Source organism: Homo sapiens, chromosome 19 (genome assembly GCF_000001405.40).
Source record: "Homo sapiens chromosome 19, GRCh38.p14 Primary Assembly".
Classification (NCBI taxonomy): Eukaryota; Metazoa; Chordata; class Mammalia; order Primates; family Hominidae; genus Homo; species Homo sapiens.
In genome coordinates, this window is record NC_000019.10 from 31402013 (window position 1) to 31415142 (window position 13130).

At 43.2% G+C, this 13130-nt stretch overlaps 1 long non-coding RNA gene across 3 annotated transcripts in view; it reads left to right on the forward strand.

Moving 5' to 3' along the window:
• Positions 1–13130, forward strand: part of TSHZ3-AS1 (TSHZ3 antisense RNA 1) — a 101016-nt gene that overhangs the window by 80182 nt on the left and 7704 nt on the right. For all 3 annotated transcript variants that reach the window (XR_002958388.2, XR_001753896.2, XR_001753900.2), the window contains exon 2: positions 3684–3799. This is a non-coding gene — a long non-coding RNA (TSHZ3 antisense RNA 1). The remainder of the gene's footprint in view (positions 1–3683; positions 3800–13130) is intronic.

Here is a 13130-nt window from a genome sequence, read left to right on the forward strand (position 1 = left end):
TGTCCCGAGACCCCTCAGAATTCTCGGACAGGATCTTGGATCTTCATCTCTGTGCCTTTGGCAGCCACGAAACCCCACCCATCCTTCAAGTTTCCTTACAACAAAATTATGCTGTGCTCTTCTGGAGTGGCATGAATAAAGCCCCATGAAAGCAGAGAGTCCCAAGAAAGGGCCTAATTCCAGGAAGAGATGGAAACTCTTGCAGGTCCCCTTGCTTAAGAACAATTAAGCCCTGACACGTGCTTGGGTGGCAGGGTCAGGAGAATTGTCTGAGGGCCACTGCGGCTTATGACAGGGGCTGCCAGTTTCCTTCTAACTCTGAGAAGCATGTGAGCTGGACTTAAACTCCATCCAGCATTGTCTACATCTCCCTCACCCTTGCTAGCTTTATGACCTTGGGCAAGGCACTTCCTTCCTTGTACCTCAGCTTCCTCCTCTGTCAAATGGGTATTATAGCAGTGATTAATTCACAGGACTATGTTAGGATAAATGAGGTAAGACATACAAAAGGCTTTCACCTTTTATAAGAAATAGTGCTTAAATGTGGCCCATCAATATTTCTTACCCCAGCAGGGCAGTATTATGCAAATCTGTGCTTGCATGATGTGATGTTTGCTGATGAGCTGGTAGCCAAAGCCAGCCCAGGGTCAATGTGGGAGAGCAAGGACAGCGGGAGGTCTGACTCCCTGAATCCAGGTGTGCTATGAATTCCCTTTGTCAGCAATTACTACAATGTCTGAGTCTCCGGATGTTCTTGCATCCTTGTGCCTCACCCCCTTGTGTCCAGTGGATTCTTTTTCATCCCTCTTTCCCGTACGTTTTGTCTTGAACTACACAATGTCAGTGGGATGAGGTGCAGGAGAAAGAGAGTGGTCTTAAGAGAGAAGATATCTTTGGGGTAGATGAAGAATCCATAAACTGCAAGACTACTTTATGGGCCGCTAGAGATGAGGAAAAAGTAGTCATACCGAAATGTGTTTTGGGAGGCTAAATTTTACACATTTGTTTGGTATTATGCAAATTTTCCTTTGTAGATTACTCTCAGCAGAGAAAAGCACCATGATGTCAGTGCCACGTTAAAGTGGTTAGTGTATCACCCTGCAGCAAGACTGTGGAATCAGAACCCCAGAACAATGACTTCTGGCATTGTCTCTCTATTAGTGATTGCAGCTGATGTCATTTTGCCAAACAAAATTATAAGCAAAATGGATGTTTTGGGTCAGAGTGTGCCAAGGAATATAAAGCTGCATTTCTTTCAATAAATCCTGCCCTCTTCTGCCAGGACAAAGACATACAACCTATGGTGATTGACGTTTTCACCACTAAATTATACTATGTCTATTTCTAGAAGAAATGTCTCCATTCCAAAATTAGCAAACCATCAACATAACATAAAATAACATGAACATGGTGTCATTTCGCAAAGATATTGATTCATGTAGACTCACTGGATTAATAACTGGTTTCCCATAAAAGGAGTAGTCACTATGTCTTTGGTAGACAGAAAAAATATACACTTTAGAACAATATATATTGGTACCTTTAAGCCTGATTGCTAAGCTCAAATAAACAGAAGAGTTTTCAGAGGAAACATTGCAAACGAAGAGAGAGGTGACATACGGCAATGTACAAATGGATCCAGGAGTGATGGAAAGCTAATAAAAAAAGACAACTATTTATTTATTTGGAGCATTTGATTTTACTCTATTGGATTACATGAAGCTCTAATTTTTCACTGCAGTCAATCTGTATAAAAGTTCAACTGATTGAAGCATATATTTAATTCCTAAATGCCTTTTCTTTCAACCCCCTACTTCTTCAAAGTTGGACCTTTAGTGTCTTGAGTAGCAAAGAGGTTTGGCTTATGTTGGAGCAACCAGACCCAAGGAGGCATTTAAATGCTGTGGGTGATTTACTCAGTTCCTAACGACAGCCAATCCACTCTTTTCTCCTCTAGGACTGGATTTGCCAATATATTGAGAAAATATGTTTCTTTGCATTTTTTTTGATGTTTTCTTCAATGAAGTTCCATGGTAATAAAGTAATTGAAATTAACCTTCCCAGTTTACTCATGGCATTTAGAATGAAATTCAAACTCCTTACCAGAGACTGTTGGTTCCACATGTGTTGGTTCAGCTTGCTTTTCTAAGCTCACCTCTCTCTACTCTTCTTGCCACACCCAGGGTTGGCCCTTTCCGTCAAAGGAACAGTGCTCATCACTGCCCCTCTATTTGGAATCTTCTTCCAGCCTTTCACATTGCTGCAACCATCTTGTCTTTTGGCCTTTGCTCCTCAAAGACACCTTCCTTATCCATATAATTTTCTAGAAAAATGACCAACTGTCCATGACCCACTTTCATTGAATTATTGCATTTTAATATCATCGTCTCTTCCCTCTGGAATATAAACCCTTTGAGAAAGGGAGAGTCCTTATGGGGCTTGTTGATGGCTGTATCCCTGTGGCCCCGCACAGTGTTGGCAGACAGAAGGTGCTCAATAACTGAATGGATACACTTCTGGGAGGAAGATTCAGAAACAGAAAGCAATCTTTTTGACTCAGTTCCAATTTGCTGTCATGTTTTTGTAGGATAATTGTCTTCTTTATATCTCAATTTTTCTTCCCTTAAATAAGAAGAGTGGTGTTTATATGCTGTCCAGAAATGGTGCACAGATTAAGTCCATTGTAAAACAAAACAAAATAAAGCTATCTAGTTATTTATTTGCTTTTAAAAAACTTTTCTGGTTTCTTCACAATAGGCTTAAGAGGTAAGAGTTTGTTTAACATAGAAAACCAACTATGACTGTGAGGACACATCTGCTCTAGGGATTAAAGCTAACTCAGTATGTAAAACATCCCTTTGGAAATGGTCATATGTGTCTTCAGGGGATTTGACAACTGGTTCTCCCATTTGTTTTTCATTGTTGAAACAGATCATTGTTTCTGCAGTTGAATACTGGATTAAGTAGTTGTATTAAAAATTAACATTTTAATGCACTAAAATCACAGACCACGAGACGACCACCCAAGGAGACACAGAGGAAATGGGACCCAGAAGAGACTGCATATTCATTGGTTCCCATTTTATGTTTATTTCTGGACAAAAGCTGATTGAGTAAGCTGGCAGGTAGACTAGCCTACTTCTTCAACCATTGTGTTTCCATGCCTGGCCTCCACCCTCTTCAACTGGGAATAGATTATTTTCATTAACCCAACAGTAGTGATTCCCCCTGCAGCTTCAGTCTCCAGTTATTTGTAGCTGAATCTATTGCTTCTCTGGAAAGGATTGCAGATAGCCAATGGCCTTCCAATGCTCTGGGTGGATTTGCTGGCTGTAGTCCCATCTGGAGGCAATGGAGGGGAGTGCTTCCTTGGATATCTTTCTCCAGGTGAAACCATTTGGCAAGGTCTCAGAACTCTAGGAACAGTCTGGAAGCCCCTTTTTTTGCCAATGTTGGGAATGTCTTGCCCATCACAGGGATTTGTCTGCTTTGGAGGTTATCAAACCTGAAATTGAAGGCAGTGGTCCAGCAGGATTTAAAGTCTTTTCTAATTGGCAGAACCTGGAAATAATATTGTGAATCTGGAACCAAAGGGCCCCTATTGCCAGTGCCTTTGGATTCTAGAAATGTGAGCTCAATAGTACCTATTGAATAGTCCCTAAATCTCTGTCCTTACCTCGCAGGTCAGCAGTTCTAGAAGAATCTTTCTGGACAAAAGACCTGGAGTTGGCACTTTTGGCTGCCACTCAACATTGAATGGCCTCTAGCTGTGACCCATCTTGGGACAAGAAAATAAACTGTAAGTTTGGAAAATGAAGACTTTTAAAAAGATTAGACTGGGAGCAGTGGCCCGTCCTTATAATCCCAGCACTTTGGGAGGTCAAGGCAGGAGGATCAATTGAGGCTAGGGGTTTGAGACCAGCCTGGGCAACATAGCAAGACCTCATCTCTACGAAAATAGGAAGTATTAGCCAGGTGTGGTGGCGTGCTCCTGTGGTCGCAGCTACTAGGGAGGCTGAGGTGGGAGGATCCCTTGAGCCCAAGAGTTTGGGGCTGCAGTGAGCTGTAATTGTGCCACTGTACTCCAGCCTGGGTGACAGAGTGAGACCCTGTCTCTAAAAAAATAATAAAAAATAAAAAGATTAGATACCTGCTGGACCTCATTTGCAACTGGTAAAATCAGAAGCTGTCTTCCAGCAGGTGTTTATATGAGAATAAAATAAGAGAGAGGAGGAGCTGCCCCAGAAGGAGAAGTCCCCAGGAGGGGACTCTCAGCCAGTCACACTCTGCAGCCCAGTGGACTGTTTCAGGAACCTCCTCTCCAATTCTTCCACCCTTGCCTGCTTTTTGGTTCCCAACCCCCACTCCCACAGTGATTTTGTAATTTTCATTCCATCCTTCCTGAAGATAAAAGACACCATGGGTGGGATCCGTGAATAAAAGTCGTTATTTATCGATGCCGGTTTTGGGGAACATTTTTCCTTCTGATTCATGAACCACTTTTCTACATTCGAAAAGCAGTTCATAAATCGTTCAGCACCGGCAGAAATTAATAATAATGAATCCATTTACATAAAATAGTCTCATCCTGCCAGGTGCTGATAATATTTGAAGCTGGAATCTCTTTAGGAAACTGGATGGCATATGTGCGTGTGTTTTCCTATACATCAGACCTCACACCTTCCTTTTGTGAGTTTTACCAGAAATTTAATTATTTAGTGGCCAGTCTTGATCACTGGGAGATGCTATTTGCAAAACTGGGGAAAGATAAAAATAAGAGAAATATTGCAGTGTCTTAAGAAGATAGTTTTAAGCCATGAGAGTTCGTGTCTAGTGAAATTAACCCTTTGAGTAGTTCAGAGAAATACAGCTACCCACGGAATCATTGAGTCCTAAGAAGGATCGTCACTATCTTATGGCTCACATATGCTCACACTCACACAAGCATGAACACACACAGGATTTTTTTGCAGTAACAAAAATGAATGCATACATCGTAAACTCTATTTTCAAAGGTATATGACAAAGAGCATAAATTATATTATAAGTAGGTCTTATGTAAAAAAAAAAAAAAAGAGTACTGTGATCAGACGAACTGGTGCAACATACCAATTAACACAAACAAGATAGGGTGCCTGCCTCCAGAGTAGCACACTCCACAAATGGACTGAAGAGTTTGGCAGAAATGTTTTGCTTGAGTACTTTTTTTCCCCAGCAGGAACAGAAGGTTAAGCTCTCATACTCCTCAGTCATTAGAATCTGATTACCACTGTTTGTTACATGGTCCCTTTCTTGTTTTGTATATTGATCCCACTTTATCCTCTCATGCTACTCCTATTCCTATAGGAAAACATGCGGTTGTGTTAAATGTACATTTTTGTTTTGTTTGCATCCATTTTTAACTTACGTAAAGGATATTATGTTATTTACTTGGTTCTGTATCTTTCTTGTTTCATGAAACACAGTGACTTTCACATGTACCCACATTGTTCTGCAAACATGAAATCTGCCGCTTCACCATGATTTCACACACGCTTATGTTGTTGCTCTCTAAATGTAAAATCTGCTGCTTCTGGTTGTACACAGTTCTCTCTAATGTCCATCCATTCTTCCAGTTGGCTGTCTCCAATTCTCCATCCCTACAGACAATGCTGCAGAAAGAGTCTTTTCAAACAGGTGCAAGGATTTCTTTGGGATATATGTCCATGAGCAGAATTGCAGGGTCACTGCATGTGCATATATTAAATTTGACTAGGTTGTGCCAGATGCTCCTGGGTGGCTGGCAGCTCCAGTCTACATTCCCACCAGCAGTGTGGGGAGTCCATATCCTTGCCAACATGTGGCATTATCCAACTGTCTTGTCAATCCGAAAAGAATGAAGCGCTGTCTCGTTTTAATGGCATTTGTTTCTAATTGCTAATAAATGTGAACATCTCTATATGTGCTTATTAATTAGCCTTTTGAATCTCTGCTCTAAATGGCCTATTTACAGCCTTTGTACATCTCTTTCCTTCTGAAATTGTTTGACAACTTCTTATTGATTTATAGGCATTCTTTATCAGTTTTTGACATCATAAACTTCTCCAAATCTGTCACTGCCTATAAACTGTCTATAGTGTCTTCAGTTGAGTAGAAGTTCTCCTTTTTCCTCTATAGTTGTACAGTCCTGTGGTAGGCAGACTTCCAAGGTGCCACCCAGTGATCTCTGTCTCCTGGTACTCACGTGGTTGTGAATCCCTTCATATCAAGTGTAGGCTGAGCCTAGTGACTTGCTTTTCATGGATGGGGTATAGCAAAGATGATGGCAGGCCACTCCATGATTAGATTACAAATGAGTGTGACTTACAGCTTGCTAGTAGACTCTATTGCCCTTCCAGCTTGCACACTTTGACAAAGACGGCTACCATATTGGACAGGTCCATGAGACAAGAAACTGAGAAAGGCCAATAGCCATTGAGAAACGGAAGCCCTTAGTCCAACAGCCTGTAGAGAACTGATTTTTGCTGCAATCACATGAGCCTGGAAGTGGATCTTTCCCCACTTGAGCCTTGAGATGACTGAAGCTCCGGCCAATACGTCAATTGCAGCCTGGAAGAGAAACCCCAAAGGACCCTGCTAAGCCACACTGGATTCCTGACCCATGGAGATAAAGAGGCACATTGTTGTAAGCCATTCAGTGTTGGGTTATTTTGTCACTCAGCAACAGATGACTCATAGCAATTCTAAAGTTGTAATTTTGACACTTAAGCCTTTAGTTTATCCAGATTTCACTCCTCTGTAGTGTTAGGAAGAGATCCAGCTTAATTTTTCAACAGAATTGGTCTTGAATTCCAAACCTGCTATTTACATTCTGTTTCACAAGGTGAGATAATGTATGAAAAATTGCTTAAGGCAGTGTCTTCCTCCCACAAAGAAAAGGCAGCTACAGATGCAGTTATTTGCTATTATGCAACTCAGTGAGAGGCCATTGTAGAGGATATTCTCCAAAACTCCCTGACAATGAGTCACTTCCTGATTGATAATTTCACATAGCTGCATTCTTAGGAGCTCACTTGGGAACCTAAACCATGGAGAAGTTAAGATTTTGTCCCAGAAGTCTCCTCTGAGACATAGGTCCTCTGAGACACAGGCTACTTTAAGGAAAAGATAAAAAATCACCTGGGTTCTGTTCCTGACTACTGCTGACTAGCTGTGCTGTATGGAGTGGGTTCACTTTCCTTTCCTTTTCTTTCTTTCTTTTTTTTTTCTTTTGAGCCTGTCACCCAGGCTGGAGTGCAGTGGTGGGATCTTGGTTCACTGCAACCTCTGTCTCCTAGATTCAAGCCATTCTCTTGCCTCAGCCTCCCAAGTAGCTGGGATTACAGGTGCGTGACACCACATCTGGCTAATTTTTGTATTTTTAGTAAAGATGGAGTTTCACTATGTTGGCCAGGATGGTCTTGAATTCCTGACCTCAAGTGATCCACCCACCTCAGCCTCCCAAAATGCTGGGATTACAGGCCACTTTCCTTTTCTGTCTTAGTTTCCCCATCCTTTGAATGAAGAAGGCAAATAGGGTGATTTCACTTTCATTCCATCCACCACTCTGTTCCCTGAGAAGCAGCAGGAAGGCCTTGGAGAATGAGGATTTTCACTCTAGAGCTGCAGAAAAGCAGGTTGGAATTCACCTTGTGAGACTGACCTTGGGTAGAATCAGGTCAGGGCCTGATTGCTCTGTCCTTCCTCTGCCATGTCCTGCTTGGTGCTCAGTATCCCCCCTTCTACATGGGACCTCCAGCTGCCCTAGTTGAGTCAGCTCTGTTAAAATAGCTTACAGGCCAGGTGCGTTGGCTCATGACTGTAATCCTAGCACTTTGGGAGGCCAAGGCAGGCAAATCACTTGAGGTCAGGAGTTTGAGATGAGCAGGGCCAACATGGCAAAATCCGGTCTCTACTAAATATACAAAAATTAGCCAGGCATGGTGGCATGCACCTGTAATCCCAGCTACTTGGGAGGCTGAGGCAGGAGAATGGCTTGAGCCTGGGAGGCGGAGGTTGCAGTAAGTGGAGATCGTGCCACTGCACTCCAGCCTGGGTGACAGAGTGAGACTCTGTCTCAAAACAAACAAACAAACAAACAAACAAAAATAGCTTACATATCACACAATGGTCTCTTTCCTCTTATAACAGCCACAATACATTTGGCCATAAATTTTTGTCTCTAATTTTCAAGTCTGTGTCTGCTGGGGGAGAGATGAAGTGTGTGCAATTCTGAATCACTTTAATGCTACTCAAAGAAATACCACTCAGTCAGTCTTTTGGAGTCATTCCTCCTATAGAACAAGCCCCAGTGCTCACCTGATTGGTAGAGACAGATAAAGGAGACACCCACACACCAAGGTCTTTTTGGATGAGTTTGAAACTTTGCAAAACACCTGGCAGAATCGTAAGTTCTAGTCTGAGCAGCTCACAATACGTATGAAAGGCCATCAGAGAATGTGTGCTTTTGAGACAGGTTCTCAGAAAACCTGTGGGAAGCATGGCTAAAGTGGTGTGAACATACCCTGTAGTTACCACCACCTGGGACTTCCACATTGAACAGGACCACTGGTGGATCTGGTTAGAGAGAGAGAGAATGTGACAGACTGATGTGGCATCTGATAGCTCCTGCTTCCCGTGGAAGATCTCTTCAGTTGTCACAAAGGATCCGCAAGCTCCAGTGAAAAACCAACAGCTACAGACCCTGTTGAGCCCATGGGGGCTGCAGAGCACTGTGCTTGCTGAACTCTGCCACTGAGCTCCATGCACTGTCTCAAGTAATCCTCAAAACTGCCACGTGAAGTAGGTGCTCTTGTTTCCCCCATTGCACAGGTGAGTCATCAGAGGTGCATTCTAGGGTCAATCAGAGGGGTGAGACAACAGCAACGATAAACCAATTCATCTTCAATTAAGGACACCATGGACAAAAATATGACTGACTGGGAAAAGACATTGGCAATGTCTTTGACTACCAAGGGATTGTATTTAGGTAATATCAAGAACATCAGCCAACAAAGAGCCAAGAAATAACCCAAATAGAAAAGAGACAAAGTGCATGAAATAAAAGAAGAAATTCAAAATGTTCACTAAAAAATAAAGAGATGCTCAAATCCACAAATAATGAGACATTAAATTAAATTAAAACAATGAGGAAGTAGGCCGGGCCTGGTGCTCACGCCTGTAATCCCAGCACTTTGGGAGGCCGAAGTGGGTGGATCACCTGAGGTCAGGAGTTCAAGACCAGCCTCAATATGGAGAAACCCCATCTCTACTAAAAATACAAAATTAGCCAGGCCTGGTGGTGCATGCCTGTAATCCCAGCTACTCGGGAGGCTGAGGCAGGAGAATTGCTTGAACCCAGGAAGCAGAGGTTGCAGTGAGCCAAAATTGGACCATTGCACTCCAGCCTGGGCAACAAGGGCAAAACTCCTCAAAAAAAAAATGTGGAGGTACCCTATCTGTATCATTAGATTGGCAAAATATGAGGCATGTGGATGGTGCTGTTACAAGAAAGGGGTCCAGATCCAGACACCAAGAGGGGGTTCTTGGATCTCACACAAGAAAGAATTCAGGGTGAGTCCATAGAGCAAAGTGAAAGCAAGTTTATTCAGAAAGTAGAGGAATAAAACAATGGCTACTCCATAGACAGAACAGCCCCAAGGGTAGCTGGTTGCCCATTTTTATAGTTATTTATTGACATTACACTAAATAAGGGATGGATTGTTCATGCCTCCCCTTTTTAGACCATAGAGGGTAACTTCCTGCATTGCCATGGCATTTGTAAACTGTCATGGCGCTGGTGGGAGTGTAGCAGTGAGGACAACCAGAGGTCACTCTCCTTGCCATTTTGGTTTCGGTGGGTTTTAGCCAGCTTCTTTACTGCAACCTGTTTTATCAGCAAGGTCTTTATAACCTGTATTTTGTGCTGACCTCCTGTCTCATTCTGTGACTTAGAATGCCTTAACCATCTGGGAATGCAGCCCAGTAGGTCTCAGCCTCATTTTGCCCAGCTTTTATTCAAGATGGAATTACTCTTATTCCAATGTCTTTGACAGTGCTAAGCTTTAATAGGTTGTTGGGGTTCTAGGAGCTCCCACACGGAGTCAGTGGGAGTATAGACTGATGTAGGTATCTGGAGAACAATCTGGCAGAGGGGAGTCAACATGAGAATCTGCATCCCCGGAGCAGGCAATTTTGTTCCTTAGTACACATTCCCAAGAAATTCTCACACTGCTCCACATAGGGCCCTGAGCTAGGGTATTCACAGCAGCCTTGCCTATGGTGGTACAGAATTGAAGCAGCCTGGATGCCCATCTCTGGGGCAGGGATGGAGGACTGTCATCTGGCAGATGCCAACCTTGGGGGGATCATCCAGCCATCAGAAGTCACAGACTATGTGAACCCATGACAACAGGCACGGATGTGAAGGCACAGTGCTCAGCAAAGACAGCGGGAAACAGAATAAGATGATGAATGCACTCCCATTGACACAAATTATCCAAAATGTTTGACAGTCTGTATTACACAAGTGGAATGGGAGCCAGTTCCTGGAATATTGACCCTTTCATTGGTGGGCTGTAGGAGATTCAATAATAGAGCTGGGCTGGCCTGAGTGTTGAACAACCAACCCTCTGGGGACATGGGGAAGGGGCATTTTGCCAACCAAGATGACAATATTTTCAATATTTTAACCATAGATCTGGCTGCACTGGTGCATTTTGGCTGAATATCAACCCTAGGTGGAAGCCCTGAGCACAACACCCTTGGTCAGAACGGTAACAGGACACTCTCCTGTTCATGGTAGGGGGAGAAATCCGACAGTGGGGTAAGAGTCCAGGTCCTGTGGGAGTCCAAACTTGCAGGGCATAGACAGGAGTGATGAGCTGGATGACACTTGTGAACATGGCATAAGGGGCTTTTCAAAAAAAGGCCTCAACCCAAAGAGTAACTCAGGATAGAAATTCAGACACTTTGAAGACTCCAGGAGCTGAAATTATTTGTGTTTAGGGAAAGGCCTCTCCAACTTGTCCAAGTGACAACAGCATATGTCCACCCACCTACTGCTCTCCATGTAGGTCCACCGTGGTTAGAGCAAGTCTGACACCACCCACGAAGTCTGGATGGGAGTGACAGATTCCTCCTGTTCAACCACACCACCCCCAAAGGGATTGCCCCCCGCAGATGTTTTCTGTAACCTGCTCTGTAGGCAGGTGCCAGGTATGGATTTGTGAGTTGGGGTAGCTGTGATTTGGAGACACAGGCCATTGGTGTTGAGTTTGAGACCTAGTCAAGCTGTGGTCTCAGGAGTTCCAAGAAAGTGGATAGGAGGTTGGACATCTTTTGTGGCTGGGGAGGAAGCCCCTGTGTGAGTACTCAGATCGGATGCCGAGACGCATCTGTTTGTGCTCATTCTGTGATGACAGGGACACATTGATCCTATGCTTCGCTAGCTCACAAGGGGCTGGGAGTAACAATCAAGCAGTGAGTATGTAAGACGAACACACCACAATCCCCATCATTAGGGTGAGTGGAGTCTGGATCATCTGCCCTGTCAGGGAGGCAGCAGACTGCTGGGAAAAACTGGGTGCATTCCAAACACAATCAGATCCTGCAGGCGTTACGGGCCTTCTCAAATCCACATTGGTCCATGCCAGGATGCTGGAATGCCAAGGGGCCATTACCCCCTGGCCCTTCTATTCCAGTCTGCTGTGAACGCTCCTTTGGAAATGGTAGAGAATTTGCATTTATCAGAAAATTGCTTACTTACTCTAATCATCTATTTGTAAGGTTTTATTTTAGCTAGATAATGAATAAGACTAAATTGATGTCAGGCATGGAGTAATTTTAACCAATACCTTCAGAAGTCTGTAATACCAAATATTGGAAAATTATATGTAGGGTAATCTAAATAATGAGATGTTAAAATTTCTTGGATCCCAGGAACTCTTCAATTCATTTTTTCCTCTCTCTCTTTCAACCTCACTGTGGGAGGCGCCATCTCTGACATCTTTATATATGATGTTCTCATTTCAAAATGCCACTGAACCTTCAAATGAACACTTGCGTATGGTCCTTGAATACAAAAATACTTAAATCAAGATTTTTATATTTTGGTGCAGCCAGCCAGAATGCACAGAGAGAGATGGGAAGATTTAGCTCAGAAGCCTACCCAGGAAGGCAGAAAAGGTCCAGCTAAGGGAAGGGGAGAGGCACCGGGCTAGCAAACAGATACACGTGGAGATGCTAAAGATGGAAGGAAGAGTGTCTTCCTTTGGCCTCCTGTAACCTGGAGCAAACACAAAATCCAAGTTGCAAAGGAAAATTCCTTCTCCTGAGACTAAGGACTTCAAAAGATGCTCCAAAAGGAATAAATACCATAAAATGTATACTGTGTGCATCGCCTGTGGCCAGCTCCTGTGTCTACAGAGAAGAAAGAGGAGATGGTGCACTGCAAGGCAGGTGGAGCTCAGTGAGCTCAGCATGAAGACCTGGGAGCTCCCTGACCATTGCCCACAAGCTTACTTCACTATTCTAGTCTCAGAGCAAATCGGGTAAATAGATAATTTGCATGAGGGTTAAAGAAGAGTTAAGGGGATCCAATGCCTGGATGAGTCCTTGTCCGCTAAGGGCAAGGAATGGGGCTGGTGCTTGACTGACGTGATTGAACTTGATTATAACAGTGACAGATACATTGGCTAGAGTCACACCTTTTTATTTTATTCACTTTATCTTTATTTTTCCAGCCTTATTGAGGTGTAATTGACAAATACAATTATATATATTCAAGGTGCATAACATGAGGATATGATATATGAATATATCATGAGACAATCACCACAACTCACTTAGTTAACACATCCTTCACCTTGCATAGTTACCTTTTTGTGTGTGTGGTGAAAGTATTTAGGATCTACTCTCTTAGTAAATTTCAAGTATACAATGCATTATTCTTAGCTGCAGTGAACATGGTGCATATTCGATACCCAGAATTTATTCCTCTTATCATTGATCAACATCTCTTTCCCCTTCCTGCCCTCCTCAACCCTAGCAATAAAAATTCTACTCTCTGCTTCTATGAATTCAACTTTTTTAGCGTCTACATGTAAGTGAGA